This window comes from Homo sapiens, chromosome 5 (genome assembly GCF_000001405.40).
Source record: "Homo sapiens chromosome 5, GRCh38.p14 Primary Assembly".
NCBI classification, from domain to species: Eukaryota; Metazoa; Chordata; class Mammalia; order Primates; family Hominidae; genus Homo; species Homo sapiens.
This window is the reverse complement of record NC_000005.10, coordinates 138553756-138571844: the sequence shown is the minus strand read 5'-3', so window position 1 is coordinate 138571844 and position 18089 is coordinate 138553756. Positions and strand designations below refer to the sequence as shown.

Here is an 18089-nt window from a genome sequence, read left to right as displayed (position 1 = left end):
ACTAAAAGTACACACACACACACACACACACAAAATTAGTTGGGTGTGGTGGCAGGCACCTGTAATCCCAGCTACTCAGGAGGCTGAAGTAGGAGAATTGAACCCAGGACAGGGAGTTTGCAGTGAGCCGAGATCGCGCCACTGCACTCCAGTCTGGGTGACAAGAGCGAGACTCCCTCTCAAAAAAAAAAAAAAAATAGTAGTTTGAAAGTAAAGGGCTAAAGATACCTTAACTAAATATCTACTGTTCATTAACTATCAGCAGTAAAGCATGCCCGGTAGTATTGTTGATGTGCATTTGTTTCGCAATTTGGGAGCTGTTTCTGTGTCTTAAATGATTGCTGCAAACATACCAGTAATAGGCTGGGCGTATTGGCTCATGCCTGTATCGCAACACTTCGGGAGGCTGAGGCGGGCAGATCACCTGAGGTCAGGAGTTCGAGACCAGCCTGGCCAAAATGGTGAAACCCCCGTCTCTACTAAAAAATGCCGAAAAATTAGCTTGGTGTGGTGGTGCACGCCTATAGTACCAGCTACTAGGGAGGCTGAGACAGAAGAATCGCTTGAACCCAGGATGCGGAGGTTGCAGTGAGCCAAGATTGTGCCATTGTACTCCAGCCTTAGCGACAGAGTGAGACTCCATCTCAAAAAACATACCAGTGATAACTACAAACTTACTCTCTATCACATTTTGGGAGTTTAGGTGCTGGAGAATGCCGAAGGTGCCAGAACCACCCCTTCAGTTGTGGCCTTTACAGCAGATGGTGAGCGACTTGTTGGAATGCCGGCCAAGCGACAGGCTGTCACCAACCCAAACAATACATTTTATGCTACCAAGCGTCTCATTGGCCGGCGATATGATGATCCTGAAGTACAGAAAGACATGTGAGTAACAGCAAAAGTTTTTTGCAAAAAGCAGTTATTTGCAAGGGCCACACAGAAGAGCCTCAGCATGTTGATGAGGATCCCTGGAGCACCTTACTTTAGTAATTTTACTTATTGTCCCTAGGGGAAATCTGTACCACTGCCAAAAGGGTAATCCCTTTAAAAAATTCATTTTTGGCCAGTGCAGTGGCTCACACCTGTAATCCTAGCACTTTGGGAGGCCGAGGTGGGTGGATCACCTGAAGTCAGGAGTTCAAGACCAGCCTGGCCAACATGGTGAAACCCTGTCTCTACTAAAATACAAAAATTAGCTGTGCATGATGGTGGGTGCCTGTAATCCCGGCTACTCAGGAGGCTGAGACGGGAGAATCACTTGAACCCGGGAGACGGTGGTTGCGGTGAGCCGAGATCACTGCCACTGCACTCCAGCCTGGGCTGCTGAGACTCTGTCTCAAAAGAAAAAAATTCATTTTTGTCTTTACAGATTAGGTCTTTGCTATGTATTGACATGATACATGAAAATTTGCAAAGCATTCCTAAACCACATAGTTCAGTGTTGAATACATAAGGCAGAAATGGCATAGGTTCTATCATGTGTTGATCCAGTACAGAAAAAGACTTGATTTTTCTTTTTTCTTCCCCCCTCCCAATAGAAACGGGGCTCACTATGTTGCCCAAGTTGGTGTTGAACTCCTGGACTCAACTGACCCTTCCACCCCAGCCTCCCAAATTATTGGGATTACAGGCGTGAGCCACCATGCCCAGCCTGCCTTTTTCTAAAATAGACATACTAGAGGCTCGGTGGGGTGACTCACACCTGTAATCCTAACACTTTGGGAGGCTGAGGTGAGCTCAGGAGTTCGAGACCAGCCTGGACAACTTGGGGAAAAGCCACCTCTGCAAAAAATACAAAAAAGAGCCAAGCTCGGTGGTGCGCGCCTATAGTCCCAGCTACTAGTGAGGCTTGAGCGTTGAGGGGCGGAGGTTCCAGTGAGCTGAGATCATGCCATTGCACTCCAGTCTGAGTAATAGCAGTGAAACCCTGTCTCAAAAAAAAAAAAAACTAGAAGCATAGGTAGAGTTTCCTGTTGTATACAAAATGTTTTAGGCCTAGAGCAGTGGCTCATGTCTGTAATCCTAGCACTTTAGGAGGCAGAGGTGGAAAGACTGTCTGAGGCTGAGTTTAAGACCATCTAGGCCAACAAGGCAAGACTGTGTGTGTCTCTGTCTATATATATATAAACTAAATATTTTTAAAAATTTAAACAGCTTTATTGAGCTTGAGTAGAATATGAATTCTGTATGCATGGAGTTGCGTGGACCTCTATGACTGGCTTCTTTCACTTAGCATGTTTTCAAGGTTCATCCATGTTGTAGCATGTGTCAGTACTGCATTCCTTTTTATGGCCAAATAATACTATACTGTATGGACATACAGCACATTTTGTTTATCCATTTGTCAAGTGATGGACATTTGAGCTGTTTCTGCTTTTTGGCTATTAGAAATAATGCTGCCATAAACATTTGTGTACAAGTTTTTGTGTGGACATAAATATTTCCATTTGTCTTAGAGAGTAGAATTGCTGGATCATACAGTAACGGTTTCATCAAATTATTCTAAAGTGGCTGCAAAAATCTTCTGCCTGGGGCGCTAAATAAAGAATGTTGAGGTTTCATCATAATGTTTTTATATGTTAGTGATTGCTTTCTTTTTATTTATTTATTTCATTTTGCCTTGTAATTCTCATAAACCATGTTAGTGATTGCTTTCTAAAGAATTTCACAAACTGTCATTTGTTGGCCATGAATGAGTCTCTTGGGGTGGAAGATGGATGTTCATGGTATGTGGTAATTTTGTCATGGTAAGTTGTTCAGGTAGTTTTCTCTAATAGAATTTTTGTGTCTTACAGTAAAAATGTTCCCTTTAAAATTGTCCGTGCCTCCAATGGTGATGCCTGGGTTGAGGCTCATGGGAAATTGTATTCTCCGAGTCAGATTGGAGCATTTGTGTTGATGAAGATGAAAGAGACTGCAGGTGAGTGGGTTTAGTTCACATCTGGGAAAGTTCTAAGAACAATGATTCCTGTGAGATCACTAGCTCCCTGTGCTCCAGCTCCTGTAGATGAATCTGTGGTCCCTTTTGTATAGAAAAACTAGGAATGGCAAAACTGTGTTATACTTCATGCTTTCCCTGCAGATTGAATTAATCTTCAAATCTCACTAATGGTGGCTGGCTTGTTTCTTTTTTTCCAGTAGGGGGTAATGTTCTATATTGAAAGCCACAAGACTACACATTAAGCTTTTGTCCCTGTTAGGTATAAATTAGAACTTCCTATTTGAAGTGGCTGTTGTAAGTCTAAAGGTCATTGTAGTTTAGTGAACCTTCACTAAAATGTTGAAAGAGTGATCTTAGGGGTTTCTGTTTTTTGGGGTTTTTTTGTTGTTGTTTTTTGAGACAGAGTTTCACTCTTGTTGCCCAGGCTGGAGTGCAGTGGCACAATCTCGGCTCACCAAAGCCTCCGCCTCCCGGGTTCAAGCGATTATCCTGCCCTCTCCCTCCCCCCCAACGTAGCTGGGATTACAGGCATGCGCCATCATGCCTAGCCACTTTTGTGTTTTTAGTAAAGAGATGGGGGTTTCTTCATGTTGGTCAGGCTGGTCTCCAACTCCCGACAAATCAGGTGATTCATCCGCCTCAGCCTCTCAGAGTGCTGGGATTACAGGCATGAGCCACCGTGCCTGGCCGGCCGATCTTGGGTTTGTTTGTTTGTTTTGAGACAAGAGTCTCGCTCTGTCGCCCAAGCTAGAGTGCAGTGGTGCGATCTTGTCTCACTGCAACCTCCGCCTCCCAGGTTCAAACAATTCTCCCGCCTCAGCCTCCTGAGTAGCTGAAATGACAGGCATGCGCCACCATGCCTGAATAATTTTGTATTTTTAGTAGAGATGGGGTTTCTCCATATTGGTTAGGCTGGTCTCAAAACTCTCAACCTTAGGTGATCTGCCCGCCTCAGCCTCCCAAAGTGCTGGGATTACGAGTGTGAGCCACCGTGCCCGGCCTGATCTTGGGTTTTTAACCAGTGTATTTACTTGGAGTGTTTCCTGCAAGGACATATTAGGTCACTTACCAAAAGACTGAAGAATGTTGTCTGTGGCTGCAAAAGGATGACACAGGTTGTTGGGCTATATTAATAATTCTGTTCTGACAGAATTCCATGATTGAATTTCATTCTTTTCCAGAAAATTACTTGGGGCACACAGCAAAAAATGCTGTGATCACAGTCCCAGCTTATTTCAATGACTCGCAGAGACAGGTGAGGTCAATTAGCATTCTTATTCACAAAAAGTAAGGTGCCTGGGATGGAAGGGTACAAAAATGTTTTTCTCTTTGTTTTCTCTAGGCCACTAAAGATGCTGGCCAGATATCTGGACTGAATGTGCTTCGGGTGATTAATGAGCCCACAGCTGCTGCTCTTGCCTATGGTCTAGACAAATCAGAAGACAAAGTGTAAGTTTGTGCAGTAAATTTCTCACCTGGATGTGTGAAACTAAAGTGTCACTTAATTTTTTAGTAATTGAGCCTTTTACAGTGCTTTTACTGATTTTAAGTCTGTATTGTCTTTGTTTTTTCATTTCAAAACCATTCTTTTCTTTTCTTTTGGGCCATGGTAATTTAACTAGTACATATCTCAGGGAAATAGCTTAGATTATCTGTATTTGGTTATTGAAATTTATATCCTGGTGATAGGTTTTGTTCTTAAGGATTTCTTTTCTTTTTTTTTTCACAAATCATTTACAGCATTGCTGTATATGATTTAGGTGGTGGAACTTTTGATATTTCTATCCTGGAAATTCAGAAAGGAGTATTTGAGGTGAAATCCACAAATGGGGATACCTTCTTAGGTGGGGAAGACTTTGACCAGGCCTTGCTACGGCACATTGTGAAGGAGTTCAAGAGAGAGGTGAGTTACCAATGTGGTTAATATGTAGACGTTGGGATATTGAGAAATTCTTTGTTCAGATTGCTCTTTGCTTTGTTTACGAGTTCAGTTCAACCCCCTTATTCTAGACACAGATACTCTTTTCAGAATATTTTTTTTCCCTACACATTAAGGGTAATAAAAAGTAATTCATGCTTATATATAAAGGTATGACTCCATTTTGTGTTGTTCCACCTTATTACTGCAGTTTATTTATCACCTCACTAATGCTGGTGTTTGGTGTTCAATGTCTTCACTTTATAGACAGGGGTTGATTTGACTAAAGACAACATGGCACTTCAGAGGGTACGGGAAGCTGCTGAAAAGGCTAAATGTGAACTCTCCTCATCTGTGCAGGTGAGACACGGAAAATTCGAGCAGTCTTGATGGATATTTTCAGCCGGAGCTTATTTAAAATAAATAGTATTTTCTAATTGGCCTAATGTCAGTTGAGTTTTTTTTGTTTGTTTGTTTTTTCAGTTTTCTGGTTTCTAGAGACCTTTGCCATGAGCACAGGGACAGTAAGGTCTTTAGTTTCTTTATGAGCTGAAATTTTTTTAGCCACTCAAATCAGTTACATATACTGGAGCTAAATAATGTGTGAATGATGTGCTGGGTGTACTTGTTTGCCTTTCAGTTAAAGACATTTATTTTAAAACCTGCTCTGGCAGTGTTTAAAACTAGAATTACTAGCTTGGAAAAACTGCTGTCTTAACTGACAATATTAAATAACCTCTCTCCTTGTGAATTGGAGAGTCTCTGAGTGTCTTTTTTTTTTTTTTTTTTTTTTTTTTGAGACAGAGTTTTGCTCCTGTTGCCCAGGCTACAGTGCAATGGCGTGATCTTGGCTCACCGCAACCTCTGCCTCCTGGGTTCAAGTGATTTCTCCTGCCTCGACCTCCCAAGTAGCTGGGATTACAGGTGTGCACCACCATGCCTGGCTAATTTTTGTATTTATAGTACAGACAGGGTTCTGCCATGTTGGCCAGGTTGGTCCTTGGACTCCTGACCTCAGGTGATTGACCTGCCTCGGCCTCCCAAAGTGCTGGGATAATGGGCGTGAGCCACTGAGCCCGGCTAATTGTCTCTCACTTAATAATTTGAAAAATTAGCTGGTCATAGTCTATACAACTGTGGTCCCAGCCACTCCAGAGGCTAAGAGGATTGTTTGAGCCCAGGAGGTTGAGGCTGCAGTGAGCCGTGATCACACCATTTCACTCCAGCCTGGGTGACAAATGAGACCCTGTGTCAAAAAATGACAATAATTTGAATCACCAGTCTAGAAAAAGAGCTGAAGCTTGTGCAAGTTTCCGTCTGTGAGCATCAGATTTACACAGCCTCTTTGTCAGTTTGGTTAGCTCCAGTTCTGAGAGGTGAAACTTGTCTTCACCACCAAGAATAGAATTATATAAACCATTTTAGATCTGTGTTAGAGACCCATGAAGATAGAAAGCAGCAGATCTATTTCCGGTGTCTTGGGTGACAGCAGGAAAAGCAGAGCGGTGACACCTTTATTTTGATCACCCACAAGGGAAGAGGTATTTATGATGGTTGTCACTGTGGTTGCTGCTAATGAACCTTCCCCTCAAACCTGGATTTTTTTTTTTAAGTGGCTGTGAGGAGTGACATAGTTATACACACGCATCCATGGTCTTGCTGATGTTACTTTGCCCCTGCTATCATGGAGTGGCAGAACATTGCAACGTTGGTTAGGGTTGAGGTTGAAATACCTGGCACTGCCAGAAGATAATTCTTCCCAGGGATTTGACATTTGGGGTAGGGGATGCGAGGTGTTGGAAGAGATTGGTTGGTTTTAATTAGTGTGGCTGCATCCTATTGATAGACATTTTGATTGTTTTCCAGTGTTTATTATAGCAAGATGTATTGAGCATCCTTACACATTCAGTTTTGCATAGGTGATTTTAAATCTATAGAATAAATTCTTAGCGTTTATTACCCTCATGCAGATTATATTGTGGTTTGGAAAGATGGACATTAATTAGAACAGATTAGTAAACGTTAAACTAGAAGTGATACAAAGTAAAGGTTAAGGGTGGTTCTGCAAGCATTCTGCTGGGGTTCAAGTCCCCCTTGTATTGCTTATTAATTGGTGATCTTGGATGAATTAACATTACTGTTACTTATCTACAAAACAAGGATAATAGTGGTACTCTTCCCCTAAGAGTTGTGAGCATTACCAAGTTCATAAATATTACATGCTTAGGAAAACATAGGAAATTGTGAATACTCTAAATGTAAGTTACTATTAATGTAACAAGTGGTAAAAATGCAGTTACAATTTAAGAAGGGGCCTCACTTTGGGTGGCCAGGGCAGGAATATCACTTGAGCTCAGGAATTGGGGACCAGCCTGGGCAAAATAGTGAGAACCCCCGTCTCTACAAAACTAGCTGGGCGTGGTGCACTACACCACAGGTGCGTGCCTGTAGTCCCAGCTACTCAGGAGACTGAGGCACAAGAATCTTTTGAGCCCAAGTGTTTGAGGCTGCAGTGAGCTGTGAATGCCACTGCACCCCAACCTGGGTGACAGAGCAGGTCTCTTAAAAGCAATCTAAGAAGGGGCCGCACGCAGTGGCTCACATCTGTAATCTCAGCACTTTGGGAGGCCAAGGCCGGTGAATCACTTGAGGTCAGGAGTTCCAGACCAGCCTCGCCAACACGGTGAAACCGTGTCTCTACTAAAAATACAAAAATTAGCCAAGTGTGGTTGCAGGTGCCTGTAATCCCAGCTACTCAGTAGGCTGAGGCAGGAGAATCGCTTGAACCCAGGAGGCAGAGGTTGCAGTGAGCCCAGATGGCACCACTGCAGTCCAGTCTGGGTGACTGAATGAGACTCTGTCTCAAAAAATAAAAATGAAAAATAAAAATAATAAAAATAATCTAAGAAGGTACCTGAGAGAGGTGTTCAGCATAACAAGAATAGCATCTGAGAGATGAGTTTATCAGAAAAAGATAAATGGGCATGTGTAATGGGTTAAGAGTAAGGCTCTCAGGTGAAGACCTGAGAAAGGGCCAGAGTGGCCAAAAGGGCAGAGTGAAGATTGGGGTCGGTTGTTGGTGGGCATGGAAAATGAGGCTAGAGCAGGCTTGTCCAACCTGCAGCCTAGAATGGCTTTGAATGTGGCCCAACACAAATTTGTAAACTTTCTTAAAATACTGAGGGTTTTGTTTTTTGTTTTTGTTTTAAGCTCATCAGCTATTGTTAGTGTTAATGTATTTTATGTGTGGCCCAAGGAAGCCAAAAGATTGGATACCCTTGGGCTAGAGGCTTTATAGATTTGGGATTTGGTGTCTCTCCCTAGATAAGTGAATACAAACCCCAGAGGAGTTGAGGATAGTAACATGGTCATGTGTCGATTTGTGAAAAGCCCTTTGGCTGGAGTAGAGTGGAGAATTGTGAAGGGCAGAAGGCACCCTGAGTGGGTGTAGGGGGGCTGTTGGTAACCATGTGTTGAGAAAAGACTTGGATGAGAGTGAGAGTAAGACACAAGTGATTGGGTTTGAGAGAGGAGGGTAAGGAAAGAACATTGTGATAGATGTTGGACTGGTTGTAGAGGGTTGAGAGTTAGTGCTGGAGATTTTCAGGTTGCCATTAGCTTTTAGTGTTTAGAGTCGTGCTACTATAATAGCCAAATATGGGTTTTGAATTAATTAAAATTAAATAACATTTAAAATTACATTTCTCAGTTACACTAGTCTTATTTCAAGTGCTCAGTAGTCATGTTAGTGGTTGCTGAATTGAGCAGCATAAGGAGCATTTTCATTGTCACAGAAAATTCTACTGGATAGCATTGATTTAGATAATTCTGTGTTCTGATTTGGTTAATCAACATTTTGCAAAAAAGAAATTGTCAATAATATTTAGGTATCACTATTCTACAGATGGTGTGTTAACTCTATTTATTAAGTATTCAAATGTTTAGGATACTTCTCCTGAAGAAAGGTGGTTAAGGACTCACTCTCAGTTACACACTGTAAGATCCCATGTTGTACTGGGATTTGGGATTTATTAAATACTGGATATTACATGGTGTGACTGTCAGCTGCTCTCCATGGATGTGATGGCCATACAAGTCAGTCCTCATACATTAATGAGAGCATGTCTGTAGCTTTCGTATCACTTGTAAACGTCCTGGAACTTACAGAGCCCAGGGTTAATGGCATGTTATTTGGTTCAGAACATAACTTTGACATTTCTCTTCACCTACATGGGATATTTTTAAAACTTGGTGAAGGAAAACATCAGTAGTGTGGTTCTAATGAATATGTAGTGGCAGAATAGTTCTTTATCTTCTGAATGGGGATTTTTTTCCTGCTTATCTGCTGCATTCTTGTTAATAACTATAAACTTTATTAAAACATTCTATAGTGCTTATCTCTGGGGAGATAAAACATTGTTTTTTTGTTTTTTTGAGACGGAGTTTCACTCTTGTTGCCCAGGCTGGAGTGCAGTGGCACAATCTCGGCTCACCGCAACCTCCACCTCCCGGGTTCAAGCGATTCTCCTGCCTCAGCCTCCCAAGTAGCTGGGATTACAGGCATGTGCCACCACGCCCGGCTAATTTTTTTTGTATTTTTAGTAGAGACGGGGTTTCACCATGTTAGCCAGGATGGTCTCGATCTCCTGACCTCGTGATCCACCCGCCTCGCCCTCCCAAAGTGCTGGGATTACAGGCGTGAGCCACTGCACCCGGCAAAACATTGCATCTTAAAGAGTAACTATTCTTGGCCGGGTGGGGTGGCTCACGCCTGTAATCCCAGCACTTTGGGAGGCTGAGGCAGGCGGATCACGAGGTCAAGAGATCGAGACCATCCTGGCCAACATGCTGAAACCCTGTCTCTACTAAAAATACAAAAATTAGCTGGGCATGGTGGCACATGCCTGTAGTCCCAGCTACTTGGGAGGCTGAGGCAGGAGAATCGCTTGAACCTGGGAGGCGGAGGTTGCAGTGAGCCAAGATCATGCCACTGCACTCCAGCCTGGCGATAGAATGAGACTCTGTCTCAAAAAAAAAAAAAGTATTCTTGGTGACTATTCATTTAAATTAGATCTCACCCTCCCTTTGGTTTTGCAAGTCTTCTGTCCTAGGGCATGGTCATATTTTAGTTGAAATAATAAATGTAACCGTCATTTGGCCTGCTCGCTGACATGCAATTAAACATTTCCTTTGCAGACTGACATCAATTTGCCCTATCTTACAATGGATTCTTCTGGACCCAAGCATTTGAATATGAAGTTGACCCGTGCTCAATTTGAAGGGATTGTCACTGATCTAATCAGAAGGACTATCGCTCCATGCCAAAAAGCTATGCAAGATGCAGAAGTCAGCAAGAGTGACATAGGAGAAGTGATTCTTGTGGGTGGCATGACTAGGATGCCCAAGGTATGGACCAGTGGAATTCTGTCGTGGAGAGAGAGGGCTGGCGCATAGTGTATTCTTGGGACAGGTGGCACAAATATATGGCCCATTCTGCTGGGGTGACCTAAAAGGGAGATGAGATTATATACTCACTAAAGAATTCTTTTCTGTTTGTTTTGTTAAAATTGAAAAATAGGCTGGGCATGGTGGTTCACGCCTATAATCCCAACACTTCGGGAGGCTGAGGCGGGCAGATCACATGAGTCTAATTTATATATATATATGTATGTATGTATGTATGAAAAATTAGGGAGGGGCAGAATTTCTTTAGGGGCAGTAGCAGGGAGGATCCCGAACTCAGTCATAGAATTTTTAGGATTGAAACAAAGTTTGAGGTCAGAGGGGAACATAAAACCTTGGTAATACCCCGCCCCCGGCCACCATCTTTGTACATGTGTCTTTGCAGCTTAGTGCATCTCTTTGACAAAGATTTGTGCAATGATGTATTTTATTCAACACATCATTCTGAAAGAACGTGTGGAAAACTAATGACTGAGCACAAACCTGTTGAAGATGCAGTTCTTCTTGGTAGCCTAAATAGGATTATCTTGGACCTAAGATAGTGACCTTGTTTTTTTTCTTAATTTTTCCATTGAAATACATGGCCTTAAGGAAATATGCAAAAAAAAAAAAAATGAACCTGGAAAAAAAAGGTCCTGGACCAGGTGGATGCCTCATATATTAAGAAATCCCCGAGGCCGGGTACAGTGGCTTACGCCTGTAATCCCAGCACTTTGGGAGGCCAAGGCGGGCGGATCACGAGGTCAAGAGATCGAGACCATCCTGGCTAACACGGTGAAACCCTGTCTCTACTAAAAATATAAAAAATTTGGTGGGCGCCTGTAGTCCCAGCTACTTGGGAGGCTGAGGTAGGAGAATGGCGTGAACGCAGGAGGTGGAGCTTGCGGTGAGTGGAGATTGCGCCACCGCACTCCAGCCTGAGCGACACAGCGAGACTCCGTCTCAAAAAAAAAAAAAAGAAGAAGAAAAAGTATCCCCGATACTATTCAAATGGAACTTTATCACTAATAAACACAAGGGAAGACCATGCCCCATGTTAGCAATGCAAATTATTGCTACAGCTGCCTATGATAATTTGGTCTTTAGTTGATAATATACAAGAGAATGTGGACTTCTAAGTCCCCTTGCCTTGCATCCTCTGTTTCAAATGATTTAATGTGTTGTGTAGGAAAGCAGATAATAAAACTTAGGAGAATCCTTCCCAGATTTACAAGGGTCATGAAGGAGATACTTCTATAGGTATAAAGTGTATGAGTGTTAGAAGATCATTAGCAGGAACCCAAGTACGAAATGGTTATTTGAATAAACATTCTCAGATTTGAGTTAGCCTGTCTTGAGATCTGGCTGGGAGCGTAGGACACGTGCTCCCTTTTGTTCTGCTCAGGTAGTTCCCAAGTGTGGGCCGACAGGTTCTTTTTCCTTGATGTTCAGGTTCAGCAGACTGTACAGGATCTTTTTGGCAGAGCCCCAAGTAAAGCTGTCAATCCTGATGAGGCTGTGGCCATTGGAGCTGCCATTCAGGGAGGTGTGTTGGCCGGCGATGTCACGGATGTGCTGCTCCTTGATGTCACTCCCCTGTCTCTGGGTATTGAAACTCTAGGAGGTGTCTTTACCAAACTTATTAATAGGAATACCACTATTCCAACCAAGAAGAGCCAGGTAAGAGCCATCACTTCCTACCTTGTCACATGGGTTTTAGGTTCTATGACGGATGTAATTGCAGCCACTTTCATGAGTTTTTTCTAGAAAACTTCATTTTTATCTGTTTTACAGTTTAGAATATTAAACAGTTAACTGTGGGTGGTGAGAATCCTGTGTTTTGTTTTTTGTTTTTTTGTTACCAGAAAAGTTCTTACATGTTAGCTGGTAGTGATGATTATAAGAAGGACATCAGTAGTCTCCTCCACAGGATTAACATAATTTGCTAAAAGGGATCTCAGTCATTTGAGACTGAATTTCCTGTAGTCTTCTGTTCTCAAAGACAGTAAAAAGGGTAGTCTGGACCAGACTTAGGGGAGTGTTCTTATCTTATGGATGAATGAAGGGGGTGGTATGAGGGTGCCGAGATACCAAGCAGGGCTACTTGGACATGGCTTGTTCTTGAAGTAGGAATTATTTCTGGCTGGGCACCGTGGCTCATGCCTGTAATCCCAGCACTTTGGGAGGCTGTGGCGAGAGGATTACTTGAGCTGAGGAGTTTGAGACCAGCCTGGGTAACATGGTGAAGCTCCCTCTCTCCAAAAAGTTAAATTAGCCAGGCATGGTGCTGTGTACCTGTAGTCCCAGCTACTCAGGAGGCTGAGGTGGGTGGATCACTTGAGCATGGGAGGCAGAGGTTGCAATGAGCTGAGGTCATGCCACTGCACTCCAGCCTGGGCGACAGTATGAAGTGAGGTCTTGTCTCAAAAAAAAAAAAAAAATTATTTCCTGACTTACCCAATCTTGTGATGTTTTTCCATAAAACTATGGTTGTTGGTATATTTGTGCCGTGATGTATTTGTCAACACATCACTCTGAAGAAAAGTATGTGGTGACTTTCTGTGACTGAGCATGATACATCTTCTTTCTCTGATCCCGTTTCCCCAGATGAGCATGTTTCAACATTTTAGTTCCTTTTGAGGACTTCTGTCCTAATGCTGCGTCTTTGTACAATGCATTTGCTTAGCTGAAACAGTTGCTATTGTATGCCCATTTGCTGTACTAATCCTACTTCTATTCCCTATAAAGACATCAGCCTTTGTTCTGAACATACCGTAAATTAGGAGTCTTCCAGTCTTGGAATGTAAACCTTTGGCTTTCATTTTTTCTATAGAAATGGAGTAGGTTAATCACATTGACAACCCAGGAGGGTTTCTTCTTCCCTAGGTATTCTCTACTGCCGCTGATGGTCAAACGCAAGTGGAAATTAAAGTGTGTCAGGGTGAAAGAGAGATGGCTGGAGACAACAAACTCCTTGGACAGTTTACTTTGGTAGGTTATTGTGAATCCTGAATACTATGCCTCCTTCACTGTAAAGTGAGATAATATTCTAAGCCATAAAAATATTAGTATAAACTGCTGGCATACACATACATACTGAGTAGTCTTGAGAAGAAGGGATGCAACTAGATACCCATGGCATCAGTTTTTACCTGAAAGCCTTGCTTTTTCCTTGTGCCTTAGGAATTTCCTCAGAAATAAACTCCTGATTACTCATTTAAAAGACATTTGATATTGTTACTGGTTTCTGATCAGCATTGCTTATTGGTTATTGGTGAGGTGAATAATAGGAGATTTGCTATCTGTCATTTAGTGTGTCCACAGGTACATACAGCCATTATGGTTACTTGCTATAGCTAAACTTCACTGGTATAAAACCAGTTGATTTCAGGCAGCGAACTACTACTGTTGCTTATAAACTTTGTGTTTTGTACATTAAATCACTTGTTTCTCCCAGGAACCAAGTGACTTGTTTACTAGAAAACCATATAGATTTGGAAATAATAGCACTGGACCCCTCTGTAAGAGGACCTTACTCTGGATATTATTTATTTTAGATTGGAATTCCACCAGCCCCTCGTGGAGTTCCTCAGATTGAAGTTACATTTGACATTGATGCCAATGGGATAGTACATGTTTCTGCTAAAGATAAAGGCACAGGACGTGAGCAGCAGAGTAAGTCACCTTGTTTATCAGACCCTAAGAGTGAGGTGAGGGAGGTCTTGGGAATAGACCCTCTTAGAATGATGAGTCCTCTTTGCCCCTCAGTTATCAGATTTACTTGTACAAGTGTAATGTTTATTCCCCACAAACAGGCACTGAGCCTGTGGATTGCTGAAGTTTTGATGGGCAAACAGGCCAGTTGGTGTTTGTGTATATATTGGGTCCTTGGTTTCATTTTGCTTTATAGGACTATAGGGTATTTCTCCTCTTCATAATTTGTATCAAGATTGGCTGCTATGAGCAGGAGTACTCTTAATGCAATGGAGGAAGAAGAGGCATATAACTTTACCTGGGAATTAATGAAATGCCTTCTGTTTACTACAGTTGTAATCCAGTCTTCTGGTGGATTAAGCAAAGATGATATTGAAAATATGGTTAAAAATGCAGAGAAATATGCTGAAGAAGACCGGCGAAAGAAGGTGATTACTTCTTGTCTTCTGAACTTTAATCTTAGTAAAGCTCAGTCTTGACAGTGGGAGTTTGGGGCTGGGCGCAGTGTCTCACTCCTGTAATCCCAGCACTGTAAGCCCACTGCCAAGGTGGGCAGATCGTTTGAAGCCGGGCGTGGTGGTGCACGCCTGCAGTCCCAGCTACTTGGGAGGCTCAGGCAGGAGAATCGCTTGAACAAGAAAGTGGGAGAGTTTGGACATGTCATAGGTTGTGGGTAAGAGAAAACCTAAGATAATCTATTCTTCCTTCCCCGTTGTTTATACCTTATGTTTGCAGTGCCTTTATTATTTCTTCTGTTTTCCCTGTCACAATTCTGATGTTACAAAATCTAGCCCAAATCTCTCTCAAAGCCATCCCAGACTCTTTCATGCCACTCTGATTTCTCCCTCTTACTCTATTTTTATCTGTAACTGTATGTAACACATAGCTTATTGTCTGAGTATAGACATTCAGCAAACTTTGGTTGATTGGAAAGTCTTCGTTTAAACTTCTAATTTCTCTAAGGAACGAGTTGAAGCAGTTAATATGGCTGAAGGAATCATTCACGACACAGAAACCAAGATGGAAGAATTCAAGGACCAATTACCTGCTGATGAGGTGAGTTCTATTTTAAAGTAACTCAAGAGGTTGAACACATTTTTACCAATGCCAGTGAAGTTTATTTTTCTGTGGGTTTTGATAGGGGTTTAATTATTTTAAAATGTTTCTAAATAGTACTTCTACTTGTAATGGTACAGGAGACCTGGAAAAGTAAGGATTTTTGTTTTCTTTTTTTAAGTGCAACAAGCTGAAAGAAGAGATTTCCAAAATGAGGGAGCTCCTGGCTAGAAAAGACAGCGAAACAGGAGAAAATATTAGACAGGCAGCATCCTCTCTTCAGCAGGCATCACTGAAGCTGTTCGAAATGGCATACAAAAAGGTACAAGGGCTGAAGTGGATTTTGATTCTAACTTGATCTGGATGGAACTGTTCTTGATGACTGTCACTGGTGGCTCCCTCCATAGCCATTTGTGGAATTTAGAGTGAGATTAGAGTTGGGAGATAGTCTCCTGCCGTCTTGACTCTACTTTGGCATTGGAGTTAGTGTCAAAGGGAAGGAATCCAGAAACCACCAGTAGGGTAGAAAGTGGGGAGGGGGAGTGGAATAGAAATGAATGATGAGGACATATGTGGGTCCCTCATCTTGGAGTGCAACAAAGAGCAAATGGTTAGCTCTAACGTTAAATCTGAGTGGCTCTCAAATGTTTTCTTAACAGATGGCATCTGAGCGAGAAGGCTCTGGAAGTTCTGGCACTGGGGAACAAAAGGAAGATCAAAAGGAGGAAAAACAGTAATAATAGCAGAAATTTTGAAGCCAGAAGGACAACATATGAAGCTTAGGAGTGAAGAGACTTCCTGAGCAGAAATGGGCGAACTTCAGTCTTTTTACTGTGTTTTTGCAGTATTCTATATATAATTTCCTTAATTTGTAAATTTAGTGACCATTAGCTAGTGATCATTTAATGGACAGTGATTCTAACAGTATAAAGTTCACAATATTCTATGTCCCTAGCCTGTCATTTTTCAGCTGCATGTAAAAGGAGGTAGGATGAATTGATCATTATAAAGATTTAACTATTTTATGCTGAAGTGACCATATTTTCAAGGGGTGAAACCATCTCGCACACAGCAATGAAGGTAGTCATCCATAGACTTGAAATGAGACCACATATGGGGATGAGATCCTTCTAGTTAGCCTAGTACTGCTGTACTGGCCTGTATGTACATGGGGTCCTTCAACTGAGGCCTTGCAAGTCAAGCTGGCTGTGCCATGTTTGTAGATGGGGCAGAGGAATCTAGAACAATGGGAAACTTAGCTATTTATATTAGGTACAGCTATTAAAACAAGGTAGGAATGAGGCTAGACCTTTAACTTCCCTAAGGCATACTTTTCTAGCTACCTTCTGCCCTGTGTCTGGCACCTACATCCTTGATGATTGTTCTCTTACCCATTCTGGAATTTTTTTTTTTTTAAATAAATACAGAAAGCATCTTGATCTCTTGTTTGTGAGGGGTGATGCCCTGAGATTTAGCTTCAAGAATATGCCATGGCTCATGCTTCCCATATTTCCCAAAGAGGGAAATACAGGATTTGCTAACACTGGTTAAAAATGCAAATTCAAGATTTGGAAGGGCTGTTATAATGAAATAATGAGCAGTATCAGCATGTGCAAATCTTGTTTGAAGGATTTTATTTTCTCCCCTTAGACCTTTGGTACATTTAGAATCTTGAAAGTTTCTAGATCTCTAACATGAAAGTTTCTAGATCTCTAACATGAAAGTTTTTAGATCTCTAACATGAAAACCAAGGTGGCTATTTTCAGGTTGCTTTCAGCTCCAAGTAGAAATAACCAGAATTGGCTTACATTAAAGAAACTGCATCTAGAAATAAGTCCTAAGATACTATTTCTATGGCTCAAAAATAAAAGGAACCCAGATTTCTTTCCCTATTTCTGCTTTTCTGTCCTCAGTGTACTGGCTTGTCCCAAATTCTCTGATGTAGTTCTAATAATTATCATGTGCTGACAACCTGAGCAGAAAGGCAACTACATCTTTATTCAATGTTAAGATTTCCCAAAAGTCTTCCAGCACATTTCCCTTATGTTTCATGGATGAATGTCATATGCCATGTTCAAAAGAGTCTGTTATCAAGATGGGCTTAGAATATCAGACACAATGGCTCCTTTTATAATGTTTTGTAATATGTAGAAATGAGATTACTGTATTTCCAAAAATCAGTATAAGAAATCAATTTAATTTGCAAGTATGAAGGAAGTGATTTAGACAACATTTTTGGAAGATTCAGTGCTTGTTAACACCCATGTAAAAGATTCTTGGGATTCGTGAAAAATTCTAGGCTCAGGTTTCCAACCACATGAACACTCAATGGGAACATTGTAGGATTATGAAGGATTGTTATATGGTGTGTTGGAAAATAACTTTTAGCATTTTTGGTTGGCCCTTGCCCACTGCCTCTACTGTCTCCTAAAGATAACTTTAAAAGCCCTCCAGGATTTCCAAAGTACTCCAGTTGAGAACTACTGGCTTAATGCTAGTCAAGATTCATCCTTGGGATCAGAGAGAGGAGCCAAATGCCCAAGCAAAATATATATTTGAGTTCTATTAGGAGGGAGAAGTTGCTTGGGTATGGGTGGACACAGTATTTCAGTCACCTATCAGTAAAGCTAATAGCATAAATAGCAAGAAGGTATATGGAGATTTCCTACAGCCAATAGGATATATATCTAGAATAAGATTTACTGTAAGAAAGAAACTGGCTCACAATTATGGAACCGAGGTCCCACCCACAGTCCACTGCTGGGAAAGCTGTTGGGGTAAAATTTCAGTGACCAGGAACACAGTGGTGTCCTAGTCCGAGGTTAGAAGAATATGGATGTCTTAGCTCTGGCAGTTCTATATAGGCCCTTAACTGATTAGATGATGTCCACTCACATCAAAGCAGAGCAATCTCCAATTCAATACTAATCTCTTCTGGAGAGAGACAAATGTTTAACCCGTTAAATGGCATCAATGGCTAAACTGACACATAAAATTAACTATCACAAAAGGCAAAAA

At 41.8% G+C, this 18089-nt stretch overlaps 1 protein-coding gene, 1 long non-coding RNA gene and 2 other non-coding genes across 5 annotated transcripts in view; 3 read left to right on the top strand and 1 right to left on the bottom strand.

Moving 5' to 3' along the window:
• The window catches only part of LOC105379193 (uncharacterized), a 14012-nt gene extending 13245 nt beyond the window's left edge, over positions 1–767 (bottom strand). For both annotated transcript variants that reach the window (XR_001742899.1, XR_001742900.1), the window contains exon 1: positions 679–767. This is a non-coding gene — a long non-coding RNA (uncharacterized LOC105379193). The remainder of the gene's footprint in view (positions 1–678) is intronic.
• The window catches only part of HSPA9 (heat shock protein family A (Hsp70) member 9), a 21646-nt gene extending 3557 nt beyond the window's left edge, over positions 1–18089 (top strand). The window contains exons 4-17 of the mRNA NM_004134.7: positions 704–885; positions 2796–2920; positions 4123–4196; positions 4284–4390; positions 4682–4844; positions 5127–5219; positions 10056–10265; positions 11754–11981; positions 13188–13292; positions 13859–13976; positions 14349–14443; positions 14979–15071; positions 15253–15393; positions 15731–18089. Coding sequence (NP_004125.3) covers positions 704–885; positions 2796–2920; positions 4123–4196; positions 4284–4390; positions 4682–4844; positions 5127–5219; positions 10056–10265; positions 11754–11981; positions 13188–13292; positions 13859–13976; positions 14349–14443; positions 14979–15071; positions 15253–15393; positions 15731–15808 — 1812 coding nt within the window. The 3' untranslated portion in view covers positions 15809–18089. The remainder of the gene's footprint in view (positions 1–703; positions 886–2795; positions 2921–4122; positions 4197–4283; positions 4391–4681; positions 4845–5126; positions 5220–10055; positions 10266–11753; positions 11982–13187; positions 13293–13858; positions 13977–14348; positions 14444–14978; positions 15072–15252; positions 15394–15730) is intronic.
• Positions 10735–10802, top strand: SNORD63 (small nucleolar RNA, C/D box 63). Its single transcript, NR_002913.1, has one exon. It is a non-coding gene; the product is annotated as a small nucleolar RNA, C/D box 63 (small nucleolar RNA).
• Positions 12804–12876, top strand: SNORD63B (small nucleolar RNA, C/D box 63B). The gene has a single exon (NR_145752.1). It is a non-coding gene; the product is annotated as a small nucleolar RNA, C/D box 63B (small nucleolar RNA).